The sequence below is a fragment of the Homo sapiens genome, chromosome 6, assembly GCF_000001405.40.
Source record: "Homo sapiens chromosome 6, GRCh38.p14 Primary Assembly".
Classification (NCBI taxonomy): Eukaryota; Metazoa; Chordata; class Mammalia; order Primates; family Hominidae; genus Homo; species Homo sapiens.
In genome coordinates, this window is record NC_000006.12 from 108,481,245 (window position 1) to 108,500,253 (window position 19,009).

General features: G+C 37.7%; 1 protein-coding gene and 1 long non-coding RNA gene across 10 annotated transcripts in view; one reads left to right on the forward strand and one right to left on the reverse strand.

Annotated features, from left to right (window-relative positions):
• The window catches only part of LOC124901370 (uncharacterized), a 29,555-nt gene extending 12,358 nt beyond the window's left edge, over nucleotides 1–17,197 (reverse strand). Inside the window, exon 1 of the long non-coding RNA XR_007059698.1 lies at nucleotides 10,111–17,197. This is a non-coding gene — a long non-coding RNA (uncharacterized LOC124901370). The remainder of the gene's footprint in view (nucleotides 1–10,110) is intronic.
• Nucleotides 1–19,009, forward strand: part of AFG1L (AFG1 like ATPase) — a 230,948-nt gene that overhangs the window by 186,191 nt on the left and 25,748 nt on the right. The gene's annotated exons all lie outside the window — the stretch shown is intronic.

A 19,009-nucleotide genomic window follows, 5' to 3' on the forward strand; every position in this document is an offset into this window, starting at 1 on the left:
AACATGAAGCAGATCCATCTCTGTGGACATGACATGAGCTTTCAAGTTTCCTTTCCTTACCTTGATACAGCTACTTGGTTTAATCCAAGGGTAGTGGAGAAGTCAGAAATATGGTTATTGAAGACAGTGGTTCTCAAAATGTGGTTTATAGACCTCTAGGGGTCCCCGAGACCCTTTTAGGGGTCCTGGGAATCTAAACTCTCTGTAACACTTCTTGGCTTTTTCACTCTGGTAGTATTTACAGTAATGATGCAAAAGCACTGATAGGTGAAACTGCTGGCACCTTAGCAGGAATCAAGGCAATAGCACCAAAAAATACTATATTTTTCACTGATCATATACTCACAGTAAAAATAAATAAATAAATAAATAACCCAGTTTCATTTAAGAATATCCTTAAAGAAGCAGTAACAATTATTTTGTTAAATCTCAACTTTGAGAACATGTCTTTTGAATATTCTTTGTGATGAAGTGAAAGTACACGTAATAAAACACTTCTGCACTATATCAAATATGAAGGCTGTCCTGGGGAAAAGCACTTGTACGGTTGTTAGAGTTGCAAGCTGAACTAGCCACTATTTTCACAGAATACCATTTTTACTTGGAAGACTGCTTGACAGACAAACTATGGTTATTCAGATTTGGCAGACATTTTCTCACAATGTTTGACAGACATTTTCTTGAAAATGAATGAAATAAGACTGTCATTTCAAGGAAAACAACTGACAATATTTGTTGCCAGTGATAAAATTTGAGCAAACAAGTGAAAATTAGAATTTTGGAAAACTTGTTTCTGCCATCATGAGCTTGACAGCTTCCCAATTCTTAAACATCTTTCAGATGAGATTGATGGTGATATTAACACATGCAATGTTTTGATAATTGTTTAATTAAATGTGTCAACATTTGGAAGATCTGCATAACTCAATGAACCAATACTTTCCAATAACCAATGCTTGCTCTTACAAAATCATACATGACAAAAGATCTACTTAAAGTGCAGGAAAGACTAATGGATTTTAATATAACAGAATTCAAAAAGTATACTGATACTACTTCAGTTTCTACATTGCAACTAACAGTTTAAAAATGACCTCCTTTCAAGTTAAAATTTTTTAATAGATTCTATTTTTTAGAACAGTTTTGGGCTTATGGAAAATCAAGACTCTAGTACAGAGAGTTTCCATATACTTCCTAATCTAGTTTCCCCTATTAACATCTTACATTCATATGGTATATCTGTTACAATTAATGAACCAATATTAATATATTATTATTAACTAAAGTCCATATTTTATTCAGATTTCCCTAGTTTTTACCTAATGTCCTTTTTCTGTTCCACAATACCACATTACCTTAGCTATGTCTCCTTAGGCTTCTCTTGGCTATGGCAGTTTCTCACAGACTTTTCGTTTTTGATGATCTTGACAGTTTTGAGGAGTACTAGTTAGGTATTTGTAAAATGTCTCCCAACTGGGATTTGTCTGATGTTTTCCTTATGATTAGACTGGAATGATGGTCTTTGGGGAATAGACCACAGAAATCAAGTACTACTTTCATCACATCATGTCAAGGATTCATACTGTCAACATGGCTTATAAATGTTGATGCTAACCTTCATCATACTTGTCTGAGATAATGTTTGTCAGGTTTTTTTTTGCCCTAAAGTTATTCTTTCTCCCCCTTTCCACAGTGTACTCGTTGGCAGTAGCTTCTTGTTGAGTTTTCATGTAGCATCAAAGAATATCCACAATTATCTGATAAGGCTATTAAAATACATTTCCCTCTTTCAACTACATATCCACATAAGGCTAGATTTTCTTATATACTTCAACCCAAATAACTGAGTTGCAATAGATTGGATGTAAAAATGGATATGAGAATCCAGTTATTTTCTATTAATCCAGATATTAAAGAGATTTACAAAAATGTAAGACAATGCCATTCTTGTTAGTTATTTTCATTTCAAAAAAACAGAAGTATTTTTTCATAAAAATGTGATTTGTGTTAATTTGATGGGCTTAATGTAATGGCTTTATCATTGTTGCTTTAAATGAATTAATATTTTAAATTTTTCTCAGTTTTAATTTCTATTACAGTAAACACTGGGAGAAATAACCCATATAAGCAAACATTCCTTGGGTTCCTCAATAATTTTTAAAAGTATAAAGGAGTCCTGGAGCCAAAAAGTTTGAGAACTCCTTGCTTTAGGCTTAAACTTTCATGGACCAAAAATGAAAGAATCCTACCGAAAGAAAATAAGCCAAAGCTAAATTCTAAAGGCTTAATGAGTAAACTGACTAGACCTGAATTTTCCTTGTTGAGAAATATAATTTTTACACCTGCAGAAAATTTTCCTTAACTGATAACTGCGCTCAAAAGTAACTGTTTGCAAGAGCAGTTTGTTATTTGTGTCTTAAAAATAATGACAGGTGGCCAGGTGTGTTTGCAAAAAGTCTAGGCAGAAAAATATATCAGTTGATGCATATGCATGGGTGTACGCATTGCTCACTATCAACTTCTTGTTTATTACCTTTCTTCTTTGGTTTTTAGTACTCAGGAAATGAAAGCCCATCACATAAGTGTATTGGCCTCCATTTTTCTATTAATCTTGATTATATCATATTAGTGTATATATCCTTAGACTTATAAGTATACCATATAGTATCCCTTCGGGAGCTGTTAAGTGACATTTCCCTTCTCTTGCTCTTTTTATGCTTTATTTAGCTTTATTCCAAGTGAAACCACTGATTGGGAGCTACTTCTGGTTTGTGTCCTGTGCTTCATTCACTCTCAGTAAATATCATACTAAAGGATGAATAGCTTTTATCTCTACTACTTGGCCAAGAGTCAAGGCTGATGGTGTTGGGATGCCAACAGTGGTAATTAGCATCAAGGAATAAGGGCATTAATCACCAGAGCTGAGGCAGCCCAGGAATCTCCTTGGCCTTTTACCTTCCCAGAAGCAAAACCATTTTTATAGCATTGCTGATCTGTGTATGCTCATTTCCCACATTTCCTGATTTCTGGCCTTGCCGTGTCCAAATAAGGTAGCCAGCCAGCCTGGCCACAGCATAGTGACAGGGAGGACAGAAATGAGATTGCAAAGAGCTTAATAGAGAATGGGTCAGATTCTTGTAGGGAGGAATATGAATCCATTGTCACAAATGAGCCATAAGTCTTTTGTCTACCTTTCCCCATCCACATTCCTAGTCAATCCTTAAACTAAAGAGTCATAGTCTTGGTGTTGCCAGGCACCTCAAGGGTCACCTTATCTAACCGTTCAACCAACCCTGAATCCTACAAGACCCCAGGCCTCCACTTGCCTTGCAATGCCAAATTGGGGAATGCAGTTAAATATGTGAGAAGAAATATAGGACATGTTCAGATAGGTGCAAAATTTTACCATACACACCTAGACCTAGCCTATTTCACGAGTCCTCAGAATGATAAAGAAGGTTTTTGGAATAAAATCCCATAATTGACTTATAATTTGATTTTAAAAAGTAAGATGTACATAAGTAACTTCTTATATGAATTTATTTTGTTCTGATATTTTATACATAAAAGAAAAAGTGAACTCTCTGTAAGACTGGAGATTGGACTGAGGGATCCATTTTTGCTAATTGTTGATTGATTATATCTTCCAAAGAAATCACTGTATATCAGGTTAAAAGTTGTTGATTTTTTTTTATATCTTACTATTTAAAGGAAAAAGAAATATCTGAAAAAGAAGGTCTGGATTAGAAATTTGAAAACTGTAGCCTCTTAGAATAATTGTGAACGTTTCCATGATGAAAAGGGAGTGAAGAAGGATTAAAGGAATGAAGAGAACACCTTCCTCCTTTCTTCACTGGCAAATTTTCTGTAATAGGACACATAGTGGGGCTGGACAATCCTGCCCAGCTTCTGTTCCCAAACTGAGGCAAGAGCAGCTTCTTAGATGATGCCACTCAGGGCTGCACATTTTAAGCTCTGCAAGCCATGGACTTCTCAGACTCAGCAGACTGAAGCTCCTCTGCAGGAGAAAACGTGCTTTCATTTTCTGTGAATATATTTATGTCATGTTGTTAGCTGAAATGGTTCAAAAATATTGTCTCTCCTGTAATGGGGAGAAAATGCCCAAGGATTCCCAGAGGGTCTCAATGGAAGAGTAAGTGTGCCAAAAACTGTATACTTTCAATATGTTCTCCATAATATTATTTTGAGGATTGGATCTAGTAGTAGACACAAGTCCTCATGTTTGTTTTCAGGTCACTTCTACTCTAGGAAAGTATGAGAAACTAATATTTAATATTTGCCTCAGTCTTTGAGAGGAATATGTCATTCATTTGCTGAGACAATAATTAAGAAGTGCAAAGATTAAGAAATACGAATTTAAATATATATATATATATATATATATATATATATTTTTTTTTTTTTTTTTTTTTTTTTTTTTTGAGAGAGAGGGTCTTGTTCTTTTGCCCAGACTGGAGTTCAGTGGTGTGATCACTGCTCACTGCAACCTCAGCCCCCCAGGCTCAAGCAATCCTTCCCACCTCAGCCTCCCAAGTAGCTGGGACTACAGGCGTGCACCACCATGCCCAACTGATTTTAGTATTTTTTGTAGAGACAGGGTTTTGCCGTGTTGCCCAGGCTGGTCTCGAACTCCTGGCCTCAAGCAATCCACCCTGCCTTAACCTTCCAAAGTGCTGGGATTACAGGCATGAGCCACCATGCCCATGGTCATTAATTTTTTAAAAATAGAATTTGTTTTTAATTTAAAGATAAATTATCTCATTTGACTTTTAGTAGTAAATGTATCAGAGCTCTAAATAATAATTAAGAATAGCTCTCTAAACAGAAGACCTGTATGAAGAGATTGGTAAAGTGCTGAGAGAAAACAAGTCTAATTCAACCAATTAATATGAATATAAAACACTTTAAAAGTACTTGTTTGATTTTTTTAAAAAGCTTTAACACTGATGGTTTTTCTATTGCTTACCTGTCAACTGGCCTGGTTTTTCTTAAACAGAAATTTTTTTTTAATCAAGTAGTCCTTAAGTGTTTGTTTCCTATCATAGAGTATGATTTGCCATTTTCCATAGTACCTTCTCCCAGATTAGATCAGTTGACCCAAAATTAGTAATTATTTATTACATTGCCAATTAGAATATTTAATAAGGTACATTCCATTTTATCACTTTGAAATATATTTTATGGAAAAAAGTTTAGAAATTGTTAGAATATGCTATTTTTGTTTTTTAAAATGGCTTGGTGAAGATATTATTGAGTCAGGCAAAAGATTTTGAGAAAAAACTAGAAAGGAGCAAAGGAGCCATAATATCTTAAGAATTATAAGATTTTCACATATTTTAGGGTTAAATATTACTTCATTCTTTTCTCTTTTATTGTTAATCAAGAAATATATGCTATGTAAGATCCAGCCCTCCAAGATTACTACATTGACTTTGGTCAGCAACTATTTCTTTTTCTTTTTCTTTTTTTTTGAGACGGAGTCTTGCTCTGTCACCCAGGCATGATCTTAGCTCACTGCAACCTCCGCCTCCCAGATTCAAGCAATTCCTGTGCCTCAGCCTCCCAAATAGCAGGGATTACAGGCACACCTCACCACGCCCAGCTAATTTTAGTATTTTTAGTAGAGATGGGGTTTCACCATGTTGGCCAGGCTGGTCTTGAACTCCTGACCTCAAGTGATCCACCTGCCTCAGCCTCCCAAAGTGTTGGGATTGTGGGCATGAGCCACCATGCCCAGCCAGTCAGCAACTATTTCTTAAGTACTTCTCTATCTGTATGCCTATGTTATGAGGAATATAAAAGAAGTCAGTAAGAAGTTTCTCTCAAAGAGTTTACAGTTTAATAAAGGAAATAACATAAGCCAAATATTATACAGCGAAGCAGAGTAGAAAGAGGCCCAACTGAGTCAGGAGATAACAATTCCAGTCATTAACTCAAATACTGTTTAGCTGACACTGGGCGCTGTGGCACACACTTGTAGTCTCAGCTACTTGGGAGGCTGGGGCAGGAGGATCTCTTGAGTACAGGAGTTCTTGGCTGTCCTGTGCTATGATCATGTCTGAGGATAGTCAAGGCACTCCAGCCGGGGCAACATAGCAAGACTCTGACTACCCCCACCAAAAAAAGATACTATTTTGCTGAGTTGCCTTAGGCAGATCACTTAACCACTTCACCATTCTGGGTCTAAGTTCCTCACTTGTGAAATGCATGATGTGATCAGCACATTTCTGTCATTCCTTTTATTTTATTTCATTTTATTTTTATACCATCAGTTTTGATGAATACTGATCTGTCATTCCTTTTAGCTGTAACAGTCTCCTTTAAAGAGCAGTGCTCACTAGTTAACTACATAATATGAGTGTATCAGGAGTTCAAAGTAAGGATGCTAAGGGTTGGAAAGGCTCCAACAAGATATGAGATTTAAAGAGGAAATTGACCTTGACCTGGAAAGGTGAGCAGAATTTAGATGAGTGGAGTAAAAGTATTTCAACCATAATCAGAAGCCAAGCATCACGTGTTTCAGGAGGACAGACTGATGCCTAATGAGAGCAGAGTGCATGTTGGGGAGGAAAAGGAAATAAAGATGAAACAGATCTCGGACAGATTCTACCATCAAAATCAGGCAGAGAAATAGTCTTCTTACTGTAATCCAGAAAGAGTCATTTTAGGTTTTGAGCAGGAATGTGGTACCTAGAGTAATGTTTTAGGAAGATTAACAGGTCAGTATACTCTGGGAGAGGTTGTAACTTTCACCAACATGTCCAGTGGACCAGCAAGTAGTGTCTCCTCTTGGGAAGATCCTTCTTTCCAGAAGGAAACTTGGTTAAATAAACTAACATGCTAGATATTTGTTTGTTCCCTTATGCAGGGTAACAGACACAGTCCTACCCTTTTAATATTTTACTCACACTTCTCCCTAATCATCCACCAAATATTTATAGAGTACTTAATAGAAGGCTGTCATATTTCTAGGAACTGTAGTGGGTACCAAGATGTGAGTAAGAGTCTCCACTTTTATGGAGTCTTAATTTAGAAGAGAAAATGAGGTCAGTACATAGATCACTAGAATGTGAGGCAGATTATAATTAGTACTACAGGATCAGTATGACCAGAATGCTATGGATGATCGGAGTGGAACTGGGCCTTGAAGGCTGGAGGGTTGGAGATTCTGTTGGTGCAAAGGTTGGGGGGAGTATGAGGCAGTAGCTGTTTGGTTTTTCCTAAGCAAAGGAAATCATGAGGGGCATCTTTATCATCTCTTCCTTCTCTGAAGTTTTATGTTTCTGGGGAAAACACAAGAGTTGGGGCTGGGCGCAGTGGCTCACGCCTGTAATCCTAGCACTTTGGGAGGCCGAGGTGGGCAGGGCAGATTGCCTGAGCTCAGGAGTTCGAGACCAGCCTGGCCAACATGGTGAAACCCCATCTCTACTGAAATACCAAAAAAAAAAAAAAATTAGCTGAGTGTGATGGCGCACATCTATAATCTCAGCTACTCGGGAGGCTGAGGCATGAGAATCACTTGTACCCAGGAGGCCAAGATTGCGCCATTGCACTCCAGCCTGGGTGACAGAGCGAGACTCTGTCTCCAGAAACAAACAAACAAAAAACCGGAGTTGGCAATTACAGAGTATATTCAGAGAACTACAGACTCAGAAAGGTTCTACTTCCATTTATGTCAGAGTAGCTCCTATTTGATCAAATTACCTATTGATCACCTCTGCAAACTCTGGACAAAATCTGAAAAATAACTATCCAGAAGGCACTGCTTATCAAAAGCAGGGAGAAAGTAGAGCACAGCCAACACTTGGAAGAAAGGATTGATACTGGTGAGTTTCTCATTTTTATAGTTTTTCTCCTGAGGGCAGATCACAGTTAGTCTTATACGGATGTCTAAAACTCAGTAGAAACCTGCTGTTTTTAGCTCGAAGAACCAGAGAAGAGCAAATCAGTGACCATAACAGCTGGAAAGTATAAGGAGAAATCTGGGAAAGGAGAGAACCACAGAGGAATAGCCTGAAATTTTTCCTGTAAACTCTGCCCAAATCTTGGGCTGACCTGTGAAATATACATACACAGCAAATGCTAAAATAACTGAACGGAGATTTTCGCTGCTACGCATCATGGAGGAGACAGAGTTTGGAGCTTGAGGCTAACCAAGTTAATTACCTGCTAACATAGCAACAACAACAAAAAATCAATATACTTAAGAATCCCAAGTCTCCACGACATACCATATACAGTGTCCAGAATACAGTCCCAAGTTACCATGCCCCTCATCAGGGTACATGGCTGGACAGAGTATGGACTGGATTTCAGCTCCTAATTGCTGCCTCGAGGAGGGGCATGAACCAGGTATACTTGAGAGATTGCACGAAACAAGATAAATAGAAGAGAAATCAGAGGATAGGGCATGGAGGAGGTCAGGGACGAGGACAAGCCACCTAGGGCTCCAACGGTTTCAGTCTGAATAACCAGAGAAATGGCAGGACCCTTAACAGACAAACCAAAATGCTACAGGTAGGAGAACGGGGCTTACAAACAGTTGGAAATTTAGGACTGAAGATAAAGATGTAGAGGTCATTTATAAAGGTGTGTTAGTTTGGAGCCTAAAGGAGTCAATGACATCATCTGAACTGACATAGAAAAAGGAAGAGATGAGGGTGTGGGTGGGGTTGAAAAGTATGTTTTCACTAGAGTCAATGGAAGGAAACAGAGCCAGAGGACTAGTATAGTTTAATCAAAGGCACAGGAGAAACTATACACGTTCCTCACCATTTTACTGAAGACTTTTAAAACATAGAATTAATTTACTAGGCTAGGCGCGGTGGCTTACGCCTGTAATCCCAGCACTTTGGGAGGCTGAAGTGGGTGGATCACAAGGTCAAGAGATGGAGACCATCCTGGTCAACATGGTAAAACCCCATCTCTACTAAAAATACAAAAATTAGCTGGGTGTGGTGGCGCATGCCTTTTAGTCACAGCTACTCGGGAGGCTGAAGCAGGAGAATCACTTGAACCCAGGAGGCGGAGGTTGTAGTGAGCCGAAATCACGCCAGTACACTCCAGCCTGGCGACAGAGAGAGACTTCGTCTCAAAAGCAAACAAACAAACAAAAAAACAGAAGTAATTTACTAGATCAGTAATATCTTAGGGTTTGGATGTTACTTTGTAGAAAATCTTAATATAGTAAGCCACTGTCATAAGTTTATTAATTACCTAATCTTACTGCTTTTTAGCCTTAGCATATGTGAAAAACTGTAAGTTGTAAATTACTATACACATTTACATGGGAATATAAAAATTATCTTGCATACATGTTTGTACTGTCAATTTCTTTCCTGAACTTTCTGCATTGTCTCCCTATCATGTCCTATATAAATCCAAATAGTTACATAGTCACATCATCCGAACTGCAGCCTTTGCAATGCACTTCTTAATCTCCCCCTTCACTGCTTTATTAAAGCCAACGATGCTTTGTCTTTCTCAGGCTACTTCTTTATGCCAAATTCCATTCAATTTCGTGTTCATGAAATAGATTTCTACTTCCCTACACTGGGCTATTTCCCTCTGTTGAAAACCCACCTTCTCTAAGAATATCTCTCTCTACTGACGGATGCTCAGTACATACTTGGTAACTAACAAAATCAAAAGAGGCACTGCTGTTTATTATCTGAAGTTCTTACTGACATTTTATTTCCCTGATTCTCTTTTGCCTCCTGTTTAACTGAAAGCAGATGAAATAAGCTTTAAGCAGAAATAGAATAATTTTAGCATGGATTTATTTATGTCTTATCTGATTCCAAAAAGTATTTTATATGTGTGTACAGATACACACACACAACCATATACACACAGAATTAAATTTTTTAAAAATCAGGACAAAGGGAAAATAATGAATACTTAAGCTGAAAGACAGAAAAGTTAATATACATAAATCTACATCATAAACTTCTACATAGTTCTTAAAATCAAACAATTAAGTCAACACTCAGCCTTCTATCAGCCAAAGAGGGGAAAAGATATTCAGTAAGTTAGAAGATAAAAACAAACCAGTTACTCAGAAGTGATGATTTTTACTGGCACTTGTACCTTTCATAAATGGACTTCTGAAAGATGCCAGGAGACATTTCCTCAGCACCATTCCTGCTGCCGACATATGCTTGTATCTGATAGATTCTTATATCCAAGCTGAAAACATAATGACAAAGTAAAGTTTAATGAAACTATGCTATAAGGGCAAAAATAGTACTTTACAGCTGAGCTTTTCTCTTTATTTATCTGGCTTGATCCAGAAAAAATAGTTCTAAATGTTTAGAGATTGAATAGATGCATGTTATTCCGGCCTTTCATGGATGTTTTTATCTTTTAATAAAATTTGGGCAGCAGATAATTCAAGGTTGTCTTTTGGCAAGAAGATGAAGTGAATAATTCTGTTAGTCTTACTCATAGTTTGAAGGGCTTGGCCCTTTATTCCAGCAGCACGGGGAGATATTCAGTCTTGCCCTGATTCACTTTTTAATATCTTTTGAATATGAATTAGAATTTTTAACTGAGTATTTCCATGATTTGGAAAGCAGAAGAGTGGGAGGAAGAAAGCAACTCTTCAATATCCACTTCTTTTCCAGCTCTGATTAAGCTTTTCAAATATCCAAGCCTGAGAGAGTTCCATTTCTTTCCAATGGACTCTCACAAAGAAAGCAAAACAAACAAAAACAACAGCAAAAAGCAAAACAAAAGTAACAAAACCTCTGCATTTACAAGACTTTAACGTGTTCAGAAGTTACAGTTCTCAAATTTAAAATAACTTCTTAGCTATTCTAAAGCCTTTTCTCCTTTTTCATTTTGGGATCCTAAATATCTCTTTTTGTGCCACTTAGCTCTGATTTCCAAAGGAAAAAGTTAACACTGGTTCACCTTTCATGTCACATGCACATGCAAGACTGGTGTCAGAGAGTCTAGAACCTGACCTTGCACTATGCAGCTCATCTTTCCCATTTCTTCTGGGTAGATCTCAAAGCCAGACAAATGTACAAGTCTTTCCTCCCAAGGAGATGTAGCAAATACTGCCCTCTACTGAGGGTACAATCAGGATGGCTTGATTATGTTAATGATTAAGTACTGATTTCAATGATTATGGTAGAATAATGCTGGTACTAATTACTTCATCATTATTATATACTTTCTTATTAAAATCATTATATTCAGAAAGAGAATACAAAAGTGGTGGAAACATATTTCAGCCTTGGCCACATTCACTTATTATGTTCTGTAGTCTGGACAATCAGATATCACAGCACTATGTCTGAGGCATTCATGATAATGTTTAAACTTCCTTCTGTTTTGAACTAGCTAAGAAAATACCTTTTCCAGTGGGAAATTAGAAGGAGTTATTACAACATTATTTTAACAAAGGAGCTTGTGAAATAATTCTAGCAACAGTTGGGCTATTTTTCTTCCCCTTGCCAGTATTTTTTTTTTGTATCTACTGGATTGCTAATATTCAGAGTAATTTCACAGGACTAGCTATTAATGCAGTTACAATAAATTTTTTCTTTGTTCTTTATGACTTTAAAGGGTGAATTGTACATGTTTAACAGTACAGGATCATGTTAAAGTAAATGCCTTTTAACAAAAAGCTTCTCAAAAATATTAAACTAACCAATCAAATAATTATACACACACACACACACACAGAGAGAGACATACATTTGTAACGGCATGTTTTTAAAAAATGTTATATTATCTGTGTTCCTGGATCTGGAAAGTATGGGTTCTTTTATTAGGCTAAATGCTTACTGTAATGTACTATCCAGCTCACTTGTGCTGTTCCTGTTTTTCTAGAACAGGGTTTGCTTAGGATTGGCCTGAAGCTAAACAAATCTTAGCAAGGGAGCCGTGAGAATCAAAACCTAGTGATCCGAAGTGTTCCCACAGCATCTGATAAACTCCAAAGCTTAAACCTCTGGTTTCTTTAATTCAGAAACCTTAGATACTGTGAGAACTAGGAGGAGAGTCGAGCCAGGCTAAATCGTCTGGTGGTGAAGATAGCTTCCAGAACATGGTGAGCCAAGGTGTGTGAAGACCCATTTCCTCCAGCCTCACAAACCAAAGCAGCAGCCTTGTTCTTCACAGACTCCCTCTGCCTTCTGACTGCCCCTCACACTACAGTTAAGCTGAAAACTTAAGCTGAATAAAGAAGCTAGGCAAGACTTTCTAACTCTAGAAATATGGAGGGTCTTTCTGAGTGGGGGCTCTGAGCTACACTAGCTCATTTGCTGTTGTTAATTCTGTTGTACGGTCGAACCCAGTTTATCCCATTTCCAAAAGGAGCAACTTGACTTCTCCTAGATTTTAGATGTCTACCAAACAACAGATACCAGGTAATTAGCAAGGTATAGTCTGGTTCATTCAGTCCCAGGTGGTTAGTACAACCCATTCCACTAATTTTTACCATGTCGTGGATATGCTTTTGCAGTTGTTATGTATTGTCTTGGAGTTGTATTGATGCTTACATTTAGCGATGCTCATTAATGATGATGATGCTAATTAGGACGATTTCCTACTTCTTCATCTTCTTTTTCTTCTGTTTTTGAGACACAGTCTCACTGTCACTCAGGCTGGAGTGCAGTGGCATGATCTCAGCTCACTGCAACCTCCGCCCTTCAGGTTCAAGCGATTCTTGTACGTCAGCCTCCTGTGTAGCTACAGGCCTGTGCCACCATGCCTTGCTAATTTTTGTATTTTAGTAGAGATGGGGTTTTGTCATATTGGCCAGGCCAGTCTCGAGCTCAAGCAATCCGCCCGTCTCGGCCTCCCAAACTGCTGGGATTACAGGTGTGAGTCACCACACCTGGCGTCACATTTTCATTTTGGTTTTCTGTTTTTATGCCAATTGTTTCCATCCCCGCTCCCCCTGCTCCCCTGCCCCAGTGAGTCCAGCACGGTGCTTTTCACCTGGTAGATCTGATTCGATAGACCTGACTTGATGTGGCTTGTGTCTTGAGAAAATTGTCAGTTTCAGGATCCCCAGAATTAGACATCTCCAGAATTTGGAGATCTCTTTATTACATACACAAAGCTGGTCGAGTAGAGTAGAGGAGTGTACCCTCCTCTAGTTTGTCACATTGATTTTTTTGTTAAGTCATTGTTTCTACAAGCAAAATATGCCCCCCCCACCCCGCAAAAAAATACTGTATTAACCATTAAAAGGGGATGAGAATTTAGCAAAAATCTGGCAGATTTAGGTAGAACCAACCTCCTGCCATTGAGACTGTGTAAATCAAATGGCAAAACTTTCCCTCAGCACTCCAAAGAACACCCTGAGAAGCAGAATGTGTTAAGAATTGGTGATATTTTCTAGAATGGTGAGATATTTCCCAGCTGGGTGTTTGGACTTCATATTCGTGAGATTTCTCATATTGAGGTGCCATATGAATCTTGGGAAATTATTTACTCTGCAAATACACACATTTCAGTGCTCTGCTTTTCTTTCTTTTTTTCTTTTCTTTTCTTTTTTTTTTTTTCAGACAGAGTCTTGCTCTGTCACCCAGGCTGGAGTGCAGTGGTCCCATCTCAGCTCACTGCAACCTACGCCTCCCAGGTTCCAGTGATTCTCCTGCCTCAGCCTCCTGAGTAGCTAGGATTACAGGCGTGCACCACCCTGCCCAGCTAAATTTTTTTTGTATTTTTAGTAGAGATGGGGTTTCACCATGTTGGCCAGGCTGGTCTTCAACTCCTGACCTCAAGTGATCCACCCATCTCGGCCTCCCAAAGTGCTGGGATTACAAGCATGAGCCACCACACCCAGCCTTGTTTTTCTAATTATTATATTTATTATTTTGGAATCTGGCACATAAAAATAGTCTTAACATCAATTCGTGTGATATTTTCAGTTTGTTTTGAAAAGGATACATTCATCCTAATTCCATTCAAGCATTTTCTATTAAAAGGTACTTCTCTTTAAGATATGAAGTATTGTCATTGCCATGTAAATAAAGTAAGATACCACGCATGTTTGTTTAATGAACAGCTATCAGCGTATTCCTACAAAGGGTTTATAAGGAGGAGTCTATACAGATAAAGAGTAACCCTTAGGACCGTATAATCTAGATAGAGCTTGAAATCATAATCGTCCTACTTCAGCTGAAATAATGGTAGCAGAGCAGAGCATTAGTGAGGCAGAGGAAAAAGAAACTCCAGCTGACAGCTCATTTGGGTATACTGAAGTGGATCATTGTAGGGCAGAAGGTGGTCTGATGGTAATGCTCGTGCATTTCACATTGGTGTGGCATTGAGAAAATTCCCACTTCTGGCACCAGGGTCGATACCAAAGCAGACAACTGGACCATTTCACATATAGGAGAAAAAAGACAGCAAGCAAGCTCTTTATTTTTAAGTTTGTTAGAGAAACTGGGCTACATATAATCAAGCTGTATACTCTTGGTAATTAAGGAAAACAAATACTCTTTGCAAAGTCATTATAGATTTAAAGTTCTTTAAGTTTTCATCAGGTTTCCACAGAAACAAAGAGTTTGAAACAATAGTGGAGAATGCACAAACCATCGAGTAAGTGGATTTTAATTGTTCCTGTTAAGAAAATTATTCAGATAACCAGCCACATCAAAGACTATTAAACTTTTTAATTGCTCAGGTGGAAAGATGGAGAATGTCATCATTATCTATCATAAGAAGAATCAGCCTTAGATAATCCTACTTGAATTTTGAGTTAGAATAACATACTCAAGGATGCTACTAACTGAAGTGCCATTTAGTACTCAAAAGTAATCATATGCTTTAATTATTCATAGGGCACAATGCATGAATTCACAATACTAATTATGGTTTCAAAAAGTGTATTATGCTATGGTTTAGTTACATAGGAGGATCAACTAATGCAAAACAAAAGTATAAATATTTGCAACTGCCATAGATATACTGTGCATGTAATTTAGTTGTTTGTTAGTGTGGTCAAAGGAGTAGAGAAATGTCTTTTCCCTGTGTTTTGCAAAGTTCTTGTAGGATTTAATACAGTGCCTCATATTTATTAAGCATTCAATAGTTATAATTGATTTTGAAGACTTGGTGATAGTGTCTTTATTTATTCATTAATTGTGTGTTATGCAAAACTCTGTTCCCTAGTCTGTGCTAGGTGCTGGGGACACTGAGGTGAATAGAACTCCCTGTCTTGTACAATGACGTAAATGAGTGTGGCAACAGCAAATGTAAATGGCATTGTAGCTCCTCAAGGTCTTTAGTATATGCTTTGTGTTGAATATTTTACATATTCATGATGTATTGTAATATTAGGGAAGATGCAGGGGATGAAATAGCTGAAAAATAACGCACAGTAAATATACTTTGGAATTAATAAAAATCTTTAATGTTGTTTTTCTACATCATTATTTTGGTTTGACTCTTTTCTGTCATTATTTTGCTTCTTTCTCCTTTGGAAAATACTGACAAATCTAAAAAAAATGAAGATTATTAAACATACCTCTAAGTCTTTCACTCCAACCATTTAGAAATAACAAGTAACATTTTAAATATATTTACTTATGCTTTTTTCTGCATATATATTTTGAGCAAAACAAACATATAATTTTGCATTATGCTTTTTCACTTAGTTTTTTTTATCATGGCATGTTTCCATATCATAAAATATTTTTCATGGACACCATTATTTGTTGGCAACATATTATTTTATTACATCAATGTGCCTTAATTTATTGAACCATTCTTCTGTTATCAGATATTAAAGTTGCTTTTTGGTGACATAGTTATAATCTTATGTATAACCTTCGGTTGAATTTCTGATCACTTTCTCCTGATTGATTTCTAGAAGTGAAATGATGGGTGTAAGTTTATAACTTTTTTTTAGGGCTCTTACTACAACCCATCAAACTGTTTTCAGGAACAACTAAACTGATTTGCTCTTCCAGCAGCGATGGATGCTGCATTACATGTTTGCCGGCATCAAATTGCATAATTTATTTTTCTTTGCCAAATTGCTATTTGAAAAATGATATAACATTCTTATTTCTTTGAAATAAGAATTTCTTTATTACTACTGAGCTTGACTATTTTTTCATTTGTTTATTAGCCTCTTTTACTTACTATATTCTTTGCTCCATGAATTGTCTATTCAAATTCTATATTCATTTTTTTTCTGTTGCAATGCTGTTACAATTTTAGTTTTATTGTAGTCAATCCTTGTCTCACTTAATTCCTTTTTCATATCAGTTTGCTCTCTCCCTGCATTTCTCTGCTTGTATTTGATTGGGTCCATGTCTTGTATTCTAAAACGATACCACAAAATTTACCAACTTTTTCCTTCTAGTTCTTGTATACAGTAAATCATAAGTTTTATTTCTGGAAATAAGTTTTATATTACACCATAAAAATTCCAAAATTGATTATAAAAATAAATGAACATAAAATAAATGATGATATATGTGTTTAAATATACTTATCAATTATGCAAAACTAATTCTTAACTATAAAAGCTGGATCATATTTTTCTGCAGGGGCTGGACTTGCTAATGACTTAAAAGCTTTCACTAGTAAATCTCTGTAGCAAGTATAGTGTTTTCGTTAGCTCTTGCTGCATAATAAATCACCCCAAAATTCAATGACATAAACTGAGTAACAATAAGCATTTGTTATTACCCTCTAGTCTACAGGCTATGGGGGAGTTCTTTGGATCTCTGTTGGGTTCATATGTGCATCTGCAGTCAATTTGCTGCACTGGGCTAGGCTCTTCTCATCTGTGTGGGGCCAGCTGGCTGTATGCAGCCTAGGATGCTCTCTTGGCTTTTGTCCTTTTTGTGTTCTCTCCTCCTCCAGCAGGCTAGCCGAGGTATTGCAAAAGAGTGAACAGAAGCATGCAAAGCCTCTTGAGACCTAAGTTCAGAACTTGAAAACTGTGACTTTTGCTTCATTCTGTTGGCCGTGGTAAAGTTGAGCCATGGTAAAGAATAGACTCCACGTCACAATGCAAGAGCTGGAAAGTTGCAATCCAAAGGATATGGACAAGGAGGCAAGAACAATTGCAGCCATTACTATAATCAGATGACCCCTCACCCCACATAGGCCTTCTTCAATTCTCCAGTGGGTTTTAAATTATCATAATTTAGTTCTAGAGAATTTTTTAGTTAATCCAAGTAAACATCTTTAAATAACCCAAACATTTTTAAATAATGAATGCTTGGGAACAAAAGGGTGAGTGGCAACATTGTATTTAAATCAGTATTGGTCACAGTGATCAAGATCTCACACATCAAAAATGATATCCTTTATGTGATACACAGGGTTATGTAAGATGATTTGGCAGCATCGATATGTAGTTTGGTGAAAACATTCATTATATTTCTGTATATTATATAATCATGAGAAGAAAAATAAACTTACAAATATATTTTGAAATATATCGGCCAGGCACGGTGGTTCATGCCTGTAGTCCCAGCACTTTGGGAGGCTGAGGCAGGCAGATCACCTGAGATCAGGAGTTCAAGACCAGCCTGACCAACATGGTGAAACCCTGTCTCTACTAAAAATACAAAAATTAGACAGGCGTGTGGCATGCACCTGTAATCCCAGCTACTTGGAAAGCTGGGGCAGGAGAATCACTTGAACCCGGGAGGCAGAGACTGCAGTGAGCCAAGATTGCGCCACTGCACTCTAGCTTGGGTGACAGAGTGAGACTCTATTTCAAAAATATATATATACATGAAATATTGAATTTGAATAAAACTATCAAATAAAATGTTTTCAAATTTGTAATGAGAAACTTCCCTCCATAAATGTAACTTTTTTTTTTTTTTTTGAGACAGGTCCTTGCTCTGTCGCCCAGGCTGGAGTACAGTGGCGCCATCTTGGTTCACTGCAACCTCTGCCTCCTGCGTTCAAGCCATCCTCTCACCTCAGCCTCCCAAGTAGCTGGGACTACAGGCACGTGCCACTACATGTGGCTAAGTTTTGTATTATTTGTAGAGATGAGGTTTTGCCATGTTACCCAGGCTGGTCTCAAACTCCTGAGCTCAAGCAATCCACCAACCTCAGCCTCCCAAAGTGCTGGGATTACAGGTATAAGCCACCATGCCCAGCCCATAAACATAACTTTCTAAAAGTCAGTTTTGATACTTGAAATGGGATAAATGAAATTCCTGATTAAGACTTTTAAAATTTTAATCCAGGCCAGGCATGGTTGCTTATGCCTGTAATCCCAGTTCTTTGGGAGGCCAAGGTGTTTGGGATTGCTTGAGCCCAGCATTTTGAGACCAGCCTTGGCAGCATAGCAAGACCTCATCTCTACCAAAAAAAAAAAAAAAAAAAAAGCTGGGCTCCATTGGTAGGTGCAGCACACCTGTAGTTCTAGCTACTCAGGAGCTAAGGTGGGAGGATCACTTGAGCCCAGGAGGTCAAGGCTGCAGTGAGCTGAGATCACGCCACTGCACTCCAGTCTGGGCAAAAGAGCTAGAGCTAGATCCTGTCCCCATCACCCCCAAAAAAACCTGAAGAAAATTTGAAGAGGAATTTTTTTAAAAAAATAATAGATTCAGGGGGTACATGCACAGGTTTGTTACATGGGTGTATTGTATAATGCTGGGATTTGGGCTGCTAGGGTGCTTGTCATCTGAATAGTGAACATAGTGACCAATAGGTAATTTTTCTAACCCTTGCCCCCTTTTCTTGCTCCCTGCTTTTGGGGTCCCTAGTGTCTATTTTTTCATCTTTATGTCCATGTGTACCCATTGTTTAGCTCTCATTTACAAGTGAGAACATGCAGTATTTGGTTTTCTGTTTTTTTGTTAATTTGCTTAGGATAATGGCCTCCAGCTGCATCCATGTTGCTGCAAAGAACATGATTTCATTCTTTTTTATGGCTGTGTAGTATTCCATGGTGCGTGCGTGTGTGTGTGTGTGTGTGTGTGTGTGTGTGTGTGTGTGTACATATACGTATACCTGATCTCAGGTGATCTGCCTGCCTCGG